Source organism: Homo sapiens, chromosome 3 (genome assembly GCF_000001405.40).
Source record: "Homo sapiens chromosome 3, GRCh38.p14 Primary Assembly".
NCBI lineage: Eukaryota > Metazoa > Chordata > Mammalia > Primates > Hominidae > Homo > Homo sapiens.
Window position 1 is genome coordinate 101,356,915 of NC_000003.12, and position 18,273 is coordinate 101,375,187.

General features: G+C 34.1%; 1 protein-coding gene and 1 pseudogene across 18 annotated transcripts in view; one reads left to right on the forward strand and one right to left on the reverse strand.

Moving 5' to 3' along the window:
- The window catches only part of SENP7 (SUMO specific peptidase 7), a 189,008-nt gene that overhangs the window by 32,710 nt on the left and 138,025 nt on the right, over nucleotides 1-18,273 (reverse strand). For 17 of the 18 annotated variants that reach the window (XR_007095714.1, XR_007095713.1, NM_001282803.2 and 14 more), the window contains 5 exons: nucleotides 15,094-15,212; nucleotides 10,916-11,097; nucleotides 9,516-9,855; nucleotides 7,920-8,077; nucleotides 4,801-4,947 (listed from right to left, as the gene is read on the reverse strand). Coding sequence is in view for 16 of the 18 variants with exons in the window: in NM_001282803.2 (NP_001269732.1) it covers nucleotides 4,801-4,947; nucleotides 7,920-8,077; nucleotides 9,516-9,855; nucleotides 10,916-11,097; nucleotides 15,094-15,212 (946 nt within the window). In the remaining 2 variants the exon portion in view is untranslated. Of the gene's footprint in view, nucleotides 1-4,800; nucleotides 4,948-7,919; nucleotides 8,078-9,515; nucleotides 9,856-10,915; nucleotides 11,098-14,939; nucleotides 15,213-18,273 lie in introns of those variants that run through there. The other variant, NM_001282804.2, reaches the window with a different exon arrangement.
- ZNF90P1 (zinc finger protein 90 pseudogene 1) lies at nucleotides 379-1,915 on the forward strand (annotated as a pseudogene).

Genomic DNA, 18,273 nt, shown 5'->3' on the forward strand with positions numbered 1-18,273 from the left:
TAAATACTCTTCTTCACTTTAAAGGCTTATATTTTCTGAAAGAATTTTTGACAGTAATTGCACTTTTAATGCTTTTATTAACTATGAACATTCTTTTTTTTTTTGAGACAGAGTTTCGCTGTGTCACCCAGGCTGGAGTGCAATGGCGCAATCTCGGCTCACTGCAACCTCCGCCTCCTGGGTTCAAGCAATTCTCCTGCCTCAGCCTCCCAAGTAGGTGGGACAACAGGCATGCCCCACCATGCCCAGTCAATTTTTGCATTCTCAGTAGAGACAAGGTTTCACCATGTTGGTCAGGCTGGTCTCGCACTCCTGACCTCAGGTGATCCACCTACCTCAGCCTCCCAAAGTGCTGAGATTACAGGCGTGAGCCACCGCGAGGAGTGGCATTGCCTGGACACTGCACAGTGGAATTTATATAAGGATGTGATGTTAGAGAACTACAGAAACCTGTTCTTCCTTGGTATTGTTGTCTCTAAGCCAGACCTGATGACCTGTCTGGAACAAGGGAAAAAACCTTTGACTACGAAGAGACATAAGATGATTGCCAGACCCCCAGTTATATGTTCTCATTTTGCCCAAGATCTTTGGCCAGAGCAGAGCATAAAAGATTCTTTCCAAAAAGTGATACTGAGAAGATATGAAAAATGTGGACATGACAATTTACAGTTTAAAAAAAGCTGTAAAAGTGTGGATGAGTGTAAGGTGCACAAAAGCGGTTATAATGGACTTAACCAATGTTTGACAACTACCCAGAGAAAAATATTTCAATGTGATAAATATGTGAAAGTCTCTCATAAATTTTCAAAGTCAAACAGACATAAGACATACTGGAAAAAAAACTTTTAAATGTAAAGAATGAGGCAAAGCTTTTAACCAGTCCTCAACCCTTACTACACATAAGAAAGTTCATACTGGAGAGAAACGCTACAGATGTGAAGAATCTGGCAAAGCCTTTAAGCTGCCTCTAACCTTACTACACATAAGATAATTCACACTGGAGAGAAACCCTACAGATGTAGAGAACGTGGCAAAGCTTTTAACCACCCCTCACCCCTTTTTTCACATAAGAAAATTCTTATTGGAGAGAAACCATACAAGTGTGTTAAATGTGGCAAAGCCTTCATTTCATCCTCAACCCTTATTAAACATGAGATAATTCATAGAAACTCTACAAATGTGAAGAATGTGGCAAAATTTTAACTGTTCCTCAAACCCTACTAAACATAAGATAATTCATACTGGAGATATACCCTACAAATGTGATCAATGTGGCAAAACCTTCACCTGGTTTAGTCAAGCCTCACTAAACATAAGAGAACTCATACTAGAGAGAAACCTTACAAATGTGAAGAATGTGGCAAAGCTTTTAACTGGTCCTCAGCCCTTAATAAACATAAAATAATTCATATTGCACAGGAAACCTACAGAGTCAATAATGTGGCAAATCTTTTAAATGTTCCTCAACCCTTAATAAGCATAAGATAATTTATACTGGAGAGAAACCCTATAAATGTGATGAATGTGGGAAAACCTTTAACCAGCCCTCAACTCTTAGTAAATATGAGAATTTATATGGAACATAAACCCTACAAATATAAAGAATGTGACAAAGCTTTTTAAGGAAGTTCTCAACCCTTATTACACATAATTCATACTGGACAGAAACTCTACAAGTGTAAAGAACGTGGCAAAGCCTACAACAAATTCTCAATTCTTTTTTTTTCTTCTTTTTTTGAGACAGAGTTTTGCTCTTATCACCCAGGTTGGAGGGCAATGGCATGATTTCACCTCACTGCAACCTCCGCCTCCTGGGTTCAAGCCATTCTCCTGCCTCGGCCTCCCAAGTAGCTGGGATTGCAGGTGCCCACCACTATGCCTGGCTAATTTTTGTGTTTTTAGTAGAGAGGGGGTTTCACCTTGTTGGCCGTGCTAGTCTCAAACTCCTGACCTCAGATGATCCACTTGCCTCAGTCTCCTAAAGTGCTGGGATTACAGGCATGAGCCACCATGCCTAGTCATAAGTTCTCAATTCTTAAGAGACAAACGATAATTCATGCTGAAAAGGAACTCTACAAACCTGAAAGATGTGACAGTACTTGTACAAACACCTCCAACTTTGCAATACATTAAAAAAAAAAGTTATACTAGTGTGAAACCCTAGAAATGTATAAAACGTGACAAAGCCTTTATATGGTTGCCACACTTGATTGTAGGTAAGATAATTCATACTGGCAAAACTCCTACAAGTATAAAGAATGTGGCAAAACTTTTAATCTGTGCTTACACCTTATTTCACAGGAAAGCTATTACCCTTGAGAAAAATTGTCCACATATAAAGAATATGGAAAAGCCATTAATGCTAGTGATTTTTGTACACTGATTTTGTGTCCTAAAACTTTGCTGAAGTTGTTTATCAGCTGAAAGAGCTTTTGGGCTGAGATCCTATATCTAGAAAATTTATATATAATATATATAAATATATATATAGAATCCAGACATAGAATCATATCATCTGCAAACAGGGATAGTTTGACTTCCTCTCCTCCAATTTGAATGTACTTTCTTTCTTTCTCTTGCCTGATGGCCCTGGCCAGGACTTCTGACAATTAATTTTTAGGACCACTTTACAATGCTTACTGAATATTTGCAGTTCCCTACTGTTTGTAATAGTAAAATATTGGGACAATTTGAAATGACCAACAATTAAAAATTTTTAAAGACAACCCAAATATCCCAAAATAAGTAGAGGAATTAAATTAATGAAATTATGGTAAGTTACAAAATAGTACATATTATGTAATATCCCTTTGTTTTAATGTATCTATATATGTATGAAGAATATGCAACGATATATACTATACAGTGAATGGCAGTTGTCTCTAAATAGGCAAGATTATATGTGTTTGTAATATTGTTCCTTTACTAATTTGTTTGTGGTTTTTTGCTTGATCTTGGTTTTTGAGCATAACATGTCCACCTGACTGTGTAATAATATAATTAATATATTAATTAATAGAAATCCCATTGTTTAATATTTATATTGGATTTTCCTTCCCCCGGCTAATCATCACTCTCATATATTTAGGTTATCCAACTTTTTGCCATCAAAAAGAACTCAACAGAAATAACTGGGTAAACCTGAATTTAAAATAATAAAGTAAAATAGGGGAGAAAATCCTGAAAAATGAATAAAATTCCTTAAAGAAAAAGAATTGTAAAATCACCCCAGACATGCCAAAATCAGTTAAAACCAGTGGCCAAAAAAATGTTAATTTTAATTCATTCTTGAGCTTTCGAAGCAATGGTGACTGTATCACAAACTACTATTATTTGCAGTTCCCAGAATTTGGGATTAGGTCTTTGTCTGCATGGGTACCAAGTAAACAACAGGTACTTCATGTCTTATTCATGTGCTGTCTTCTCTGTGAAGCCTTTCCTGATTCCTCCAGACATTGATAGATATCCATTGCCATATGCACCCTTCTTGTACATATTTCTGTTTTATATTTTACCATAATGTAAAGTAAATATTTATGTGTCTGTCTCTTCCATTAGATTAAAAGCTCCCTGAAAGCAGAAACCATATCTTAGCATTTTTATATTCTCTGCCTTATCCCTAACACAGTGAAATATGAATGAAACTGCTATAAAAAATGCCTGAGTTACTAAATCTGACACAGTCACTTCAACAAACATTTAAGTGCCTGCTTAGAGTGGAAACATTTATGGAAGCTATAAAAGGAACTAAAACTGTGGCTCTTCACCATAAGCAGCTTAAAAGGTTAATGGAGAAGTTTATATAAGAATATAGGTAATTATAAAACACACAGAATAAATCTTAGAAGTCAAATGAAGTGTTATAAGTGTATAGCAAAGGGAGAAGTTAATTCCGTCTAAAAAGGAGGGATTAGGGAAAGTTTCCTGGAAGAGTCAGTATATCAGAGAAGCTTTAAAAGATGATTAGGATTTTAAAAGGTCAAAATGGTAAGAAAATATAGAGAACTGGCTGGGCACAGTGGCTCACACCTGTAATCCGAGCACTTTGGGAGGCTGAGGCAGGTGGATCACTTGAGGCCAAGAGTTCAAGACCGGCTTGGCGAACATGGTGAAGCTCCATCTCTACCAAAAAATACAAAAATTAGCCAGGTGTGGTGCCACGCACCTGTAGTCCCAGCTACTCGGGAGGCTGAGGCACAAGAATCGCTTGAATACAGAAGGCAGAAGTTGCAGTGAGCCAAGATCAGTGGAGTGCGCCCCTGCACTCCAGCCTGGGTGAAACAGTGAGACTCTGTCCGCCCCCCCAAAAAAAAAAAATAGAGAACCGAGTAGAATCCAGTCTCACTTTCATATACAGTGGGTGAGGAGGAGTATTTTCTTTTTTAATTAGAAAAACAGCGTAGGATTAGTTCCTGGATATCCTTAATTTAGAAATTTGGAGAAGTCAGTTTACAACCGTTTAAACTGGTAAAACAAGATTTCTTCTTTATGCTCCAAACTATACCTTGAAAAAAATTTTACTTTACCATCAAATAACTTTTAGAACCCAAAGATTATCAATACATGTGATTTTTTTTCACACATGATTTTCATTAGAGTAGTCAGATTAGGTAGGATTTTAGGAGGGGAGAATGAAAGACACATTTCAAATTAGGTATAATGACTTTCAACATATCCAAAGTGTCCCATATAAAATAAATCTTAATTCTATTCTTATTTGTGCTAAGAAAAAAAAGGAAAAAAATTAAAATGCCTTGTCCAAGATCCAAACTAAAAGAAAATTAAAGAAAATATACTTACTGTAACACAACCTTTAGAAGCTCCTTTTATTTTACCAATATAAACAGAAGTAAATATAAAATCCAGTTGTAGATCCATCTCATTACTAGGCATAATACTGGAAATGTTCTCCATGACAGGATTATATGGGCATAATTCAGATGACATCTAACAAGGAATAAATCATAAAATGCATATAATTCTTAAGTACTATATAAATGCTGAAAATGACTTTCACCATCAAATTCTTCTTTAAATTACTATTAGTGAATTTTTGAAGAACTTTATACTGTTCTTACTGTGAAGAAATAGCTATCTAGATTTTTTTTCTGAAAAAATATATGACTTACCTTTGAGAAAATTACACTAAATAGCTGAATCCAAAATTAATTCCACAGCCTAAGCTCCAGAAATATATACTCCTCTGTATCAAAGCCATGGTTTCACATTCAATAGTCTCTAATAGGTTTTATTCATTTTTAACTTGACAGAAGAAAGTTTTAAACATATATTGTACTTTTGTTTAAAATAGGTTTTTAAATATATTATCTCTTTTAATCCCCACAACCACCCTATAGGCAGGTTTTTCAGTTTCCCATTTCATAAATAAAGTTAACAGATGTTTAGATTGGTTAAGCGACCTGCCTAAAATCATGCGATTAGTAAGAAGCAAAACAAAGATTCAAATGCACGTTTCTCTCTCCAGGTCCAGTGTCACTTCAACCACATAAAATTGTTTCCATTAACCAAAATAATGTTCTTGCTACTGCACTTTAAAATTTTTTTATTTTAGATTCAGGGGGCATATGTGCAGATTTGTTACAAGGATAATATTGCGTGATGCTGAGGGTTGGGCTTCTATTGAACCTGTCACCCAGATAATACCCAACAGGAAGTTTTATGGCCCTGGCTCTCCTCAACCCTCCCCCTACTTTTGGAGTTTCCAATGTCTATTGTTCCCATCTTTATGCCTGTGTGCTACTGCACTTTTAATATGCCGTGAAGGAATGTAAGTACCTAAGAACCATCTGTTATCTCAAATTTATATGCTTTATTGTATACTCTATGTTTGAAGACAACCAACCAGAAATGGCTTATACTTGCCTAAAACCTCAAAAATCATATCACTTCCACTCAAGTGACTATATAACTTTGCTTTTAAATTATAATAGAAAACCAGGCAATATCAGCAGCAACTCTTTCCCACTGTTTCTTCTGAAATTTACACTACTTTCAGATGACTTTTTCAACTTTTTCAAATGTGCCTAACCTCTGCACATTATCCGTAACATCACACATTACCAAACAGATTACTACTAAAGCAGTTATTATGCATATGTACTCACTCCCCTCTTACCTCTCGCAAATGTGACTAATCCTTATCTAAAACATATATCATACTCATTATTTTAAACCCAGCTCATAACGCCATTTACCTGCTTAATTGAATTTCTTTGTCATTCTCATGTTTTATTGCTTAGTATACTATTAATATCTTCTTATTCCCTAAGTAAAAAAGGGAATCAATCAATCAAATCAAATCAGGTAGCTCCAACATCAGTCAGACAAATAACTGTGGGCTTTTTTAGTGATAAAATGAGAAGTTGGTATAGAAATAATTTCTCATTGGGTTTCACATTTTGTAAAAACTAGCTGGCTCCTAAAAATGACCAATCCATATTTCTCATAATTCATTTAAAACTGGAACAAGAGAGAGCATAGAGATGTGGCATTCTGCCTTATATGTCTTTGTAGATCTCCACAGTATTGGCTGCTTGGTTGTGATTATGAATGTAGTAAATTCCACAAGATATGTTATTTTCTTATAATATGATCATTTCATACTACATTGTCAATTTATACCCTGCCAAGACCTAATTCTTCTACAAGTTTAAATTCATTATCAATAATGACACTTTTAATTATATATACAACTAAACCATCAAGTAGGATATTGACCCCATCTGGTAAAAATGGTTACATTTTTGCAAAAATTCAGAACAAAGCTGCTGAGGTGATTTCTACGTGGAATACCAAATACAAAAGAAAATACCCATGAAACAATAATCAGACCAAACTGTTTTCATAGATCGGGCCAACTCTTCACCATACTCTGCAAAATAACAGCCTCTGACATTATTCAAAAACAAAACAAGATAAGTTTACCATAATTCTGCACTGGTGGTCAATGATCTTTTCTTACAAATAGAATAATCACAGACTAATAATAAGAAAGAGTACCAGCTGGGAGCGGTAGCTCATGCATGTGATCCTAGCACTTTGGGAGGTGGAGGTAGGAGGATTGCTTGAGCCCAGTAGTTAGAGACCAGCCTGGACAACAAAGAGAGACCCTCATCTCTAAAAATAGTATATATTTTAAAAACATTAGCCAGGCTTGCTGGCATGAGCCTATGGTGCCAGCTACCTGAGAGGCTGAATGAGAGGGATGCTTGAGCCCAAGAGGTTGAGGCTGCAGTGAGCCATGATCATGTCACTGCACTCCAGCCTGGGTGACAGGGCAAGACCTTGTCTCAAAAAGAAAGAAAGAAAGAAAGAAAGAAAGAATACTGATAATAAATGATTTGAACCTTATTTTAGACCTACTCTCTTCAAAGGACTGAATTAATCGACTGATATTAAACTAACACACTTCCATTTATGATTTTCTATAAGAATGAAGAGGCAGAGGACTTACCAAACTTGATAGGTTTCTGACCTATATCTCCAAAGCCATGTTCTTTCCTCTATATCATACTGCCTTCATAGTATGTGAGGAAAAGGAGTAATTCCAAGTAGCCATAATACTCCAAGACCAGACATATAAATACTAGAAAATGTGTTTAATTCTACAAAATGTTAGTGAAATGTCCAATGAAAGCCATAAAAAAAGAAAAATATTCAAGTAATAGACTATTCAGACTGAAAAATATAAATCACCAGAAGAAAATGGCATAATCTTTTCATTTCAAAATAAAGACAACTACGTATTTCACTCAAACTACTATAAAAGTTGTCTGAAAATTCAAACTAAGAAAATTTGTAATTTTCATTACAATATTCAGCTTGATAAAACAAATAACAGTCATTAACCAATAGTGTACATTTCATTGTTAATCTATGAGAAGACAGAAATAAATTACCTGTACAGATTCACATGTAATCAATGGTAGTTCTAACAATGCTGATTCAGAAGTACTCTCATTTTCATTAGTTGTCTCACGGTCTTGCTTAGATTGTAACTTAAGAATTTCTGAACTTTTATGTTCAACAGGTCCTTCTTCATCACTGGAAACAACAACTAAAACGGAAAAGAAAAATGTATTTTTGTTTATTTATTTATTTATTTATTTATTTTTTGAGACACAGTCTCCCCATCTCGGCTCACTGCAACCTCCACCTCCCGGGCTCAGGCAATTCTCCTACCTCAGCCTCCCGAGTAGCTGGAATTACAGGCATGCGCCACCATGCCCAGCTAATTTTTGTATTTTTAGTAGAGACAGGGTTTCACCATGTTCGCCAGGCTGGTCTCAAACTCCTGACCTCAGGTGATCCTCCTGCCTTGGCCTCCCAAAGTGCTGGGATTATAGGTGTGGGTCACTGCACCCAGACGAAAAATGTATTTTAAATGTGTAACAATCACATATCAAAAAAAGAACTTTTGGCCGGGAGCAGTGGCTCACTCCTGTAATCCCAGCACTTTGGGAGGCTGAGGTGGGTAGATTCCCTGAGGTCAGGAGTTCAAGATCAGCCAGGCCAACATGGTGAAACCCTGTCTCTAGCAAAAATACAAAAATTAGCCGGGCATGGTGGTACATGCCTATAATCCCAGCTACTTGGGAGGCTGATTAAGGAGATTACTTGAGCCCAGGAGGGGGAGGTTGCAGTGAGCCAAGATCGCACCACTGCACTCTAGCCTGGCCGACAGAGAGAGACTCTGTCTCAAAAAAAAAAAAAAAAAAAAAAAGAACTTTCTAATTAATGCAATTTATTTTTAATAATCCTGTTAAACTGAATCATCTAAATTTATTCAATTTAGAAACAGGCCTATCAGTTGTTATCTGATTTATAGTAGTTACAGACAATGACTCTATATCAGCGCAATTATTCAGCAGTTACCTGTACCCTTACCTTCTAAAGAATAAAGATGTTTAAAAATGGATAAAGCCATGAGGAGGCCTTAGTAACAAATTCTAGTTCTAACAGTGTATTGTGCCATCACTCTAAATTGTACTTTTAAGTCCTGTTACATGAATTGCTTCAAGGAATGGGAAATTAATAACTAGGGGAAGATGTGGGCGAGTATTCACTGGAGATCCTTTAAAACCTTTGGAATTTCTTTGTACCATGTGATGGCATCAACTACTCAGAAGCTGATTAAATGAAAATTAATGATAATAATCAGATAGCACTTAAACTCTGCATAATTCATCAACCAAATGACAGTAATGATGGTCTTTAAATAATCTATTTTAAAACTATTGAGATGACAGTGTACTTACTAATCTAAGAAAAAAATTACTTCTGTTTTCAAGTCCTCCATTAGTTTACCTAAATCGATATTTTAAAACTCATGAAGGAGACCCCAAACCCCAAGCCCTTTTTTCCTAAAGTTAATATATTCCACAATGATGTCATAAACAGCTTATGGCCTTAGCCAAATTTGTTCAAGAAGAATAAAAAAATAACTAAGTAAAGCAGAGGAAATTAAGTAACTTTATAATCCTCCTGTCACTTACTTGGTTCAGCTGAGATCAGTGATTGGTTCCCTTCATTATGTCCTCTTAGAATAGGCTTTTCTATGGTATTCAACTCATTCTCATCCTTCTCAACCAGGGAAGAAATCCCCACAATATCAATGGAATTAGAGTTCTCAACGGTTTCAGTGGTTGAACCGGCAGAGGCACTTTTGGTGGCATTACTCAAAGTCAACTCCTGACTGTTAAGTGAGGATAGTTTAGTAAAATCACTTTTTGTAGGTTTAGTTGTAATTTCTTCAGGCAGTTTTGGATCCTGATGATAGTTTTCACTTGGCTTTTCAAACTCAGTGGATATTGTTGAGTCATCTTCTTGTTTTTTCTAAACATAAACACATAGAAAAAAATAGCATTTTTCAAATTTGGCTTGCTTAAACCATTTTTAAATTCCTAAAAAAAAGTAAAAATATTATATCACTTCTATAACTACATGGATAGAAAACTAAACAATTATACTACATTATACTTGCCAATGTCTCCCAAATTTAAAGATACAGGATTTGGTCTGTCCAATCTGATGCCTGATAATTTTTTAAAGGGTGAAATTGGGAGATTTCCATCATTACAAATGCTTTGTCAGACGGTCTCCCATGATCTAAGTCAACTTTAGAATGAGAAGATGTATTTACATATTTTTATTTTGCAAAAGTAATAATGCCAATGTGACTACTTTGGTAAAACTACTTTGGTAAAAAAATTTAAAAATCAACAATATAACAACATTAAAAATTATGAAAATCAACCACTGCCTTCAATATCTCATTTACTATATAAATCTGAATCATGTTTATAATTACAACCCAAAAACATTACAAGGTCCTGAAATGATTTATGGATCAAAGAAATTGAAAAGCTGTCTTACTGTTTTATTGCTACTTATATACTAAGTCTTTGAAAATAGAAAATGTATGTATTTAATATGATAATTCTTTACTTAGAATAAATTCCCTAAACTCTAGATAAACAGAAGCTTAAAGAATTTGATAAGTAAATTGCTACTGATAAAATAAATCTAATAATAATTTTACAGAGCAAGCAAAAAAAAATGACTAGACAGTATGAATAGTATTTGGCTGAAATAAAGAAAAAGAAAAGTCTGAAGGATGTACAACTACCTACTAAGGAAAGAGCGATACAAGAAAATAAGCAATTTTAACTTTTTTAATCATTCATAGTATTTGAAATGTGTTCCAATAACTCTGTATCACCAAGAAAAGTTACATTTAGAATTGTTTTTTAATAATAAAGCTAACAGTGAACCAAAAACTAAAGAAATCTCATAATAAAAGCTGAAAGCTAGAGGAACATTATTTGGCCACAGTCAACTCGTTTTTATCATAGCATGAAATTATTTCCTATAATATCTAAATACCTCTACTTACTGTCTGTTCTGTTGACTTATCCAAAGAAGTACAATATTGAGAATCAGGTAAATTATTTCTAAGCCTTCTCTTTGTCTTCCTGGAAATCAGAGTGAGTTCCACTTTTGAATCAGAATATTTAACATCCTTGTTTCTGCTTTCCTGTTCGAGATGATCACAACCTCTACTTCCACTGTTAAGGTCTTAAAAAACAAATGAAGCATAAATATGGACAAAAAAGTATAGAGAGAATCTCTTTTAGAAAAGCTCGAAGTAACATCATCAGGATTGCTATACTACTTCCAAAGCTCATTAAAACAGAAATGTACTGTTAAATTCTCATACTGACACTGGATGAAGGTAAAGGCATGCCCTATTTTAATTGGTATATACCAAGTAAATGTTCATTATACAATAGTTGTGAGGTGAGAAAAATATATAAAGAAGAAATATCCTTTTTCATAGTAGCCAAAGCAAAGCCACCAAACTGTTTTTCCATTTGCTATAAATGCATTTGGCTGTACTATCAAAAAAAAAAGGGGATTAAGAAAATGTGGCCCATATACACCATGGAATACTATACAGCCATAAAAAAGGATGAGTTCATGTCCTTTGTAGGGATATGGATGAAGCTGGAAACCATCATTCTCAGCAAACTATCACAAGGACAAAAAACTAAACACCACATGTTCTCACTCATAGGTGGGAACTGAACAATGAGAACACTTGGACGCAGGAAAGGGAACATCACACACTGGGCCTGTTGTAGGGTGGGGGGTGGGGGGAGGGGGGAGGGATAGCATTAGGAGATATACCTAATGTGAAAGATGAGTTAATGGGTGCAGCACACCAACATGGCACATGTATACATATGTAACTAACCTGCACGTTGTGCACACGTACCCTAGGACTTAAAGTATAATAATAATAATAAAAAAGGGGGGGTCTTATTAAAATCCAGAAAATTCATGTCTTAAAGTTTGATAATTCAATGTGACTTTATAAACTAAGTCTTTTAAAATGTAATTTACATAAATACATATTTTTAGTGGAAAGGGACTATAATTTGAAAGAGTGTTGATCACTGCTCTTTAAAAGGAGACAAAATACCTTTGCTCTGTAGTTGGCTATAATATGTGATCATTCACAAGGTTACCAATTTACTTGCCAGTTTATTTCTTCTTTTCAATAATCAAGACCCTGTCATTTTAAGTCTCCAATAAATCCATCATTCTAGAGAAGTACTTCCTTTTTTAAGTCAACAAGACATCATTTTGAAACTCATGCCAATCATTACTAAAAATATTTAATATTTGTTATCAAATATATGTACTGTACAAAAATACCTTCCAAAAGTTTCCACCTAATTGACTAAAAGTTATCCTGAATTATTTTGCTTTCTGAATCTATGTCATACAAGTACCAACTCAAAGTTTATACACAGCAAGTCACAAAGCAGTTGCCTTTAATTCACAATTTTCAATTCATCTGACTGGCCTGACTTTTCCATTCACGGAACGTTCTTCAACACCATACATCTTCTCTTCAAACTATTCTTGCTTTTACTGTAGCTTCAACAATTCCTAATAACTAATATTCATGATAATTTGTCTTTGACATTACTTAAAGGAAGGCACTGGAACAGGATTGAGGGTAAAAATTCCAAGATAGTCAATCGCCTTTCAATTTCCAGAGAAAACACCTTACTCCCTAAGGAAAATAAAACTCCCCCCAAATCATCAACACAATATTTAGGATAGCACATTAAATTTTATATGTAATATTGTAAACTATAAAAGTGGTCTAATACAATTTCTACACACAATGTATCAAACTATAATTTCTAAACATAAATATTATACTACAGTAAAATGATTCATGAAAGGAAAGGGGCTTGAGAAAAACTTGATTATACAGGAGTTTTCTTTTAAACAATTTATTATTTGCATATCAGTCAAGCCTGTCTCATGGAAAAAGGAATAACTTTATTATATAGAATGAAATATTGTAAAAATAGAATTCCACCTGCATAATATATAATTCAACCTGCAAATATTACTAGCATATAAAACTAAAGAGGTGACAAAATCCTGTAAACAAAAGAATACTAAGTATTTCCAAGGTATTATGTTGGTGAAAGCAAATTCCACAAGGCAAACTTAATGTGCTATGGAAAAAAATGGTACACCTAAGATTTCATTCAGAATTTCCATTAATTTACAGGTTTTTAAAAAATAACTGGTATCAGATGTAGGAGAGTAAACACTGCTTTAATAAAGATTCAATAGCTAATTGTATTAGAAACACTTTCCCTACCAGTAGTGGTACCTTCAGGGATACTGAAAAACTAAAAAATGTTTCTTTTGTCATGTACTCTTCCCTGATGCATGTCTAAAATGCCACTGTGATCTTGAGGTAACACTCCTGGGTACAAATCAGAAAGTATTTTATTCAAGTCAATGTGAGGACTGTTAGTCCTCACATTCTACTGCTTTCCTGGGTAGAGTAGGAATCTTTGTCTTGATAGTACCTGAACTGAGCCCACTTGTACAAATACTTACATTTTTACTTGGTAATCAATACAGTCATCCCTCAGTATCCTCAGGGGATTGGTCCCAGGGACCCAGGATACCAAACTCCATGGATCCATAAGCCCCTAAAGGTATAGTATTTGCATATAACCTATATACATTCTCCTGTATAGTTTAAATAATCTCTAGATTACTTATAATACCCAATACAACATAAATGTTATGTAGTTGTTATATGTATTTTTTATGATTGTATTATTTTTATTGAAGTTTTTTTCAAATATTTTCCATCTTTGCTAGGTTGAATCTACAGATGCAGAACACAAAGATACACAGAGATGATTGTAATTACTTCTAAGAAAAGTACAGTTTATAAGAAAATAAATGTTTTTCATTATACACTGACAGTGACTAATTGGAAGCTTGTCTGAACAAAGTCACAGCACATTCTCCAAAGACTGCCTTTATAAGAGTTTCAGCTGGTTTCTTGTACAAATAAAAGTTATTACTGTAGTTTCATTTTAAATTTTTTTCTATTAAAAAGGCTACTAAAAAGAATCTTTAAATAGCTGTGCTCCAAATGAAGTGTAATGAATTTTTGCACAGCATCATCAAAAGATTTTTTTGTATTGTGAATAACTTATGAAATCACTCAAAAATAAAACAGTGGCCAAGCGCGGTGGCTCTTGCCTATAATCCCAGCATTTTGGGAAGCCGAGGCAGGCAGATCACTGGAGCCCAGGAGTTTGAGACCAGCCTGGGCAACACGGCAAGACCTTGTCTCTGCAAAATACAAAAAATTAGCCAGGCGTGGTGGTGCATGACTATAGTCTCAACTACTCGGGAGGCTGATGTGGGAGGATCACTTGAGCCCAGGAGGTAGATAGAGGCTGAAGTGGGCTGTGATCATGTGTGATCATGCCACTGTACACCAGCCTGGGTGACAGAGTGAGGCCCTGTCTTAAAAAGAAAAAGAGAAAGAGAAAAGCAAGAAAGAAAGCAAGCAACAAAGAGACTTCAACAACATTTGAAGCTATCAATAATCCAACAGACCCCTAAAGGTGTTAGTTTCACAAATAAATAATGTAGTAAAATTGTTTTTCTTCAAGTATCAGTAAAATATTTTTAATTCTTGAAAGAGAGGCAAAAAAGAAAAAGAAGTCGAATCATAAATCCTATATGCAAGGAGGCCTACAAAAAATTTTCACAAGTCTAGGAAGTATTTACCTTCAAATTTGCTAATAGTGGCTTGTTTGGCATCCTCCTGAAGTTGAGAGAAATTCTAATGAATAGAGAATGTATTTCATGGTAGGCAAATAGACAGTGATTAGCTAATAATAAAAACCCAGTTAGCAGTAACATTAATATCCATGGAAACAACACTTAGAAACAGCTAAATGAACATAACTTCATAGCTATATCCAAGTCTCCCCAAAGAAGAAAAAAATATATTAAAATTTAACTTTTGGGATTAGTAAATAAATCTAGAAATGAGTACTACGCTACATAAAGAGTAGGTTTAGCAATTTTATTTGTGTTGCCAAATAATCTCCCTTTACTTTCACATATCCTTTCAAAGTAAAATAAAATAATTTATTTATAACAAAAATTATTATTAATACAATAAGAAAAAATTCAAATTCCAACAGTTTTCTAAGGTTCACAAACCTTCAGGCTGAGTATCAGATATTAAAAGAGAAATGCCATCATCCTTTCTTCGTTTTTCTTTATTGTGCGCAGTCTGCTTTGCAGAATTGTCATCTACTGTCTTACTTCGTTGTGAGCCCCTGCAAAAGAGAACTGTATTATACTCAATTCTAATAAAGCCCAAATGAATTTAGAAGCCAACTAGCATGTATTTAAAAATCCAACACATTACAAACACAGTCCCACATGGCAGACTATAAGATCTGGGTAGTAAAAAAAATATTGAACTCAGATTTAAGAAATAAGTTATCCTCCCTTTTCTACCTTTAAATTCCCCATGTGTGTTTAGGGGGAAAAAAAATGAGATATCAACATTGGAGGATTGTGTACATGCAAAATGAGCAAAAGAGTAATACTATACAAGTATTAAATTAGGTTTAAAAAGTAAAATTCCAAGGACACAAGTACCTCAATAATTAAACCTATGTATAGGCAAACAATTATAAGCCAAAGCTGAATGTTAATATATTTCAAGCGTGGTTCATATACCAAAAGTATGGTAACAAATTTTCAGTAGTATGTGGTAATAAATTTTACCTACAGAGAAAATAATTTAAAGTCTAAGGTACTGGTAAAATAACAAATTTTGGAATGATAGTCACAATGTTACTACTAAGGAAAATTTAGAAATATAAAACATACTATAATGTATAAGTGCATACATATGAAACAAAATATAAAAACTTAGACTGGAAGGATTCAAGCCTATTTGGGTAGTAGATAACTCTAAAGAGGGAGAGTATTAGAATCAGGGAATATAAAATAAATAAGTTTTCAACTTTCTATAATACTTCTTTAAAAACAAATTTAAATCTGAAAAAATAGGAATTATATTGGTTAAATCTGAGTGATATGTATTGGCATATTATTCTCTATACTTATGTACATATTTGAAGTATTTCATAATTTTAAAATATATAAATTATTTACAACTAAGGCAACTAGTATAAGTCAAAAACAAGGACTATAAAGACCAATTACACGTAATGCTTCCTTGTTTTGAGAGAATTATTTGGAAGGCTAAAAATGACTTATAAATTAAAAAAAGCTACAGTATCCAAACATCACCAGTGTAGTGTCATAGTTAAAGAAAGGGTTATTGCTGCTATTACACTGCTCATTTTCATATTTACTTTGGTAAAATTTTCTTTATTTTCAGATTGGAAATTAAAAGGCCAAAATAATCAAAATCGTAAGGGTGAGCCAATTTCACTTGCAAAGAGGTTCTGACTGAGTCAAATCATTCCACTCCTCAACCCTCAAGAATCATTCTTGAAGAATAAGGGCATCTAAGCAAATTTATACCATAGAGTTTTGTTTACTGAAAATGAAAACCAAAAGAGAAGTCAAAAAAAATTTGTCCTCCCTGAAAGAATTATCACTACAGGCACTATAAACAAAAATAAAATGTGACCTAAAAGACGATCTAAAAAGATGCTTAGGTACTTATGTTTCCCCTGATATAAGAAGCAAACAGTGTAATAGTCCTTGTTTTTCTAGCACAATGAACACTGAAAAACAAAATAAGATTTCACATGTAAATCACATTAAAAGTTATATGGTTGTAGAAAAAAGACTTTATAACAGAGGATTTTCTTGACTAAACGCTAAGCATTAAGTAGTTGGCATGAAACCAAAAATAAAAATGAGTATTTTCAAAAGGTAATGTCATATGATTCAAATGCACAACAGTGAAGCCAAACACATCTGTAATATAATCTCAATCCAAATAACAGTTTTTTGCAGAATATGACAATCTGGTTCTAAACTGTACATGGTGGAAAGTCACGTGTTTAAAGATAAGGACAGCAATGTTCAAACACTGTTAGCTTCCATCCTCTTATAAGAAAAGGAAATGAATGGACTGGAAACACCCAAGTTCCTGAACAAGAAATATAAATATTCACATTATTCAAGTTAACAAGTAAATGTAATAAAAGCTCAAAATAAATATTTTCCAATGCAACAAAATTCTAAGAATTTTTTTAAATAGCCAAGCAAATATACTTTAAAATTATAAAAATGTATTAAAATAGCGTGGTACTAGAATAAAGAGAGACATATCGACCATAGAAATAGAAAACAGAACCCAGGAACAAACTTTCAAATATATGCTCAAAAGATTTTTGACAAGGATGCTGAAACCATTCAATAGGGAAGGGACAGTCTTTTCAATAAAGGGTGCTGTGAACATAGGATAGTCATATGCAAAAGGAAGAAGTTGGACAGTTATCTAACACCATCTACAAAAATTAACTCAAAGTGGATCAAACACCTAAATATAAGGCAGAAAACTATAAAACTCTTAGAAGAATGCATAGGGGAAATCTTTATGACATTAGATTTGGCAGTGATTTCTTTGATATAACAACAAAAACACAGTCAACAACAAAGATAAATTGGAGTTCATTAAAATTGAAAACTTATGGCTGGGCATGGTAGTTGACGCCTGTAATCCCAGCTACTCGAGAGGCTGAGGAGTGAGGATTGCTTGAGGCCAGGAGTTCAAGAACAGCCTGGGGAACATAATTCATTATGGGGTTTCACCCCACCCACACACACACACACACAAAATTTAATAATTAGCTGGGCATGATGGTATGCCCCTGTAGTCTTAGCTACTCAGGAAGCTGAGGGGAGAATCACTTGATCCCAGGAGTTCAAGGTGGCAGCTACAATTGTGCCACTGCACTCCAGCCTGGGCAATAGAATGAGGCTCTGTCTCAAAAAAAAAAAAAAAAAATCAAAAATTTTTGTTTATCAAAGGACACTAGTGAAAAGACAACCCACAGAATGGGAGAAAATATCTCCCACCCACATATATATTAAAGGATTAATACTGATAATAATAAAGACCTCCTACAGCTCAACAACAAAAAATAAATAACAATTAAAAAATGGGCAAAGTATTTGAAGAGATGTTTCTCCAAAGACATACAAATGGCCAATTAGCATGAAAAGATGTTCAACGTCACTAATCACTAAGGAAATGCAAGCCCAAACAACAATATACCATTTCACACAGATTAGGACAGAGTAATTTAAAAAAAAATTTTTTTTTCATTAAAAAAAGTTAAACATTGGCAAAAATGTAGAAAAATTGGAACCTCTGTACATTGTTGGTGGGAATGTTCAACAGTG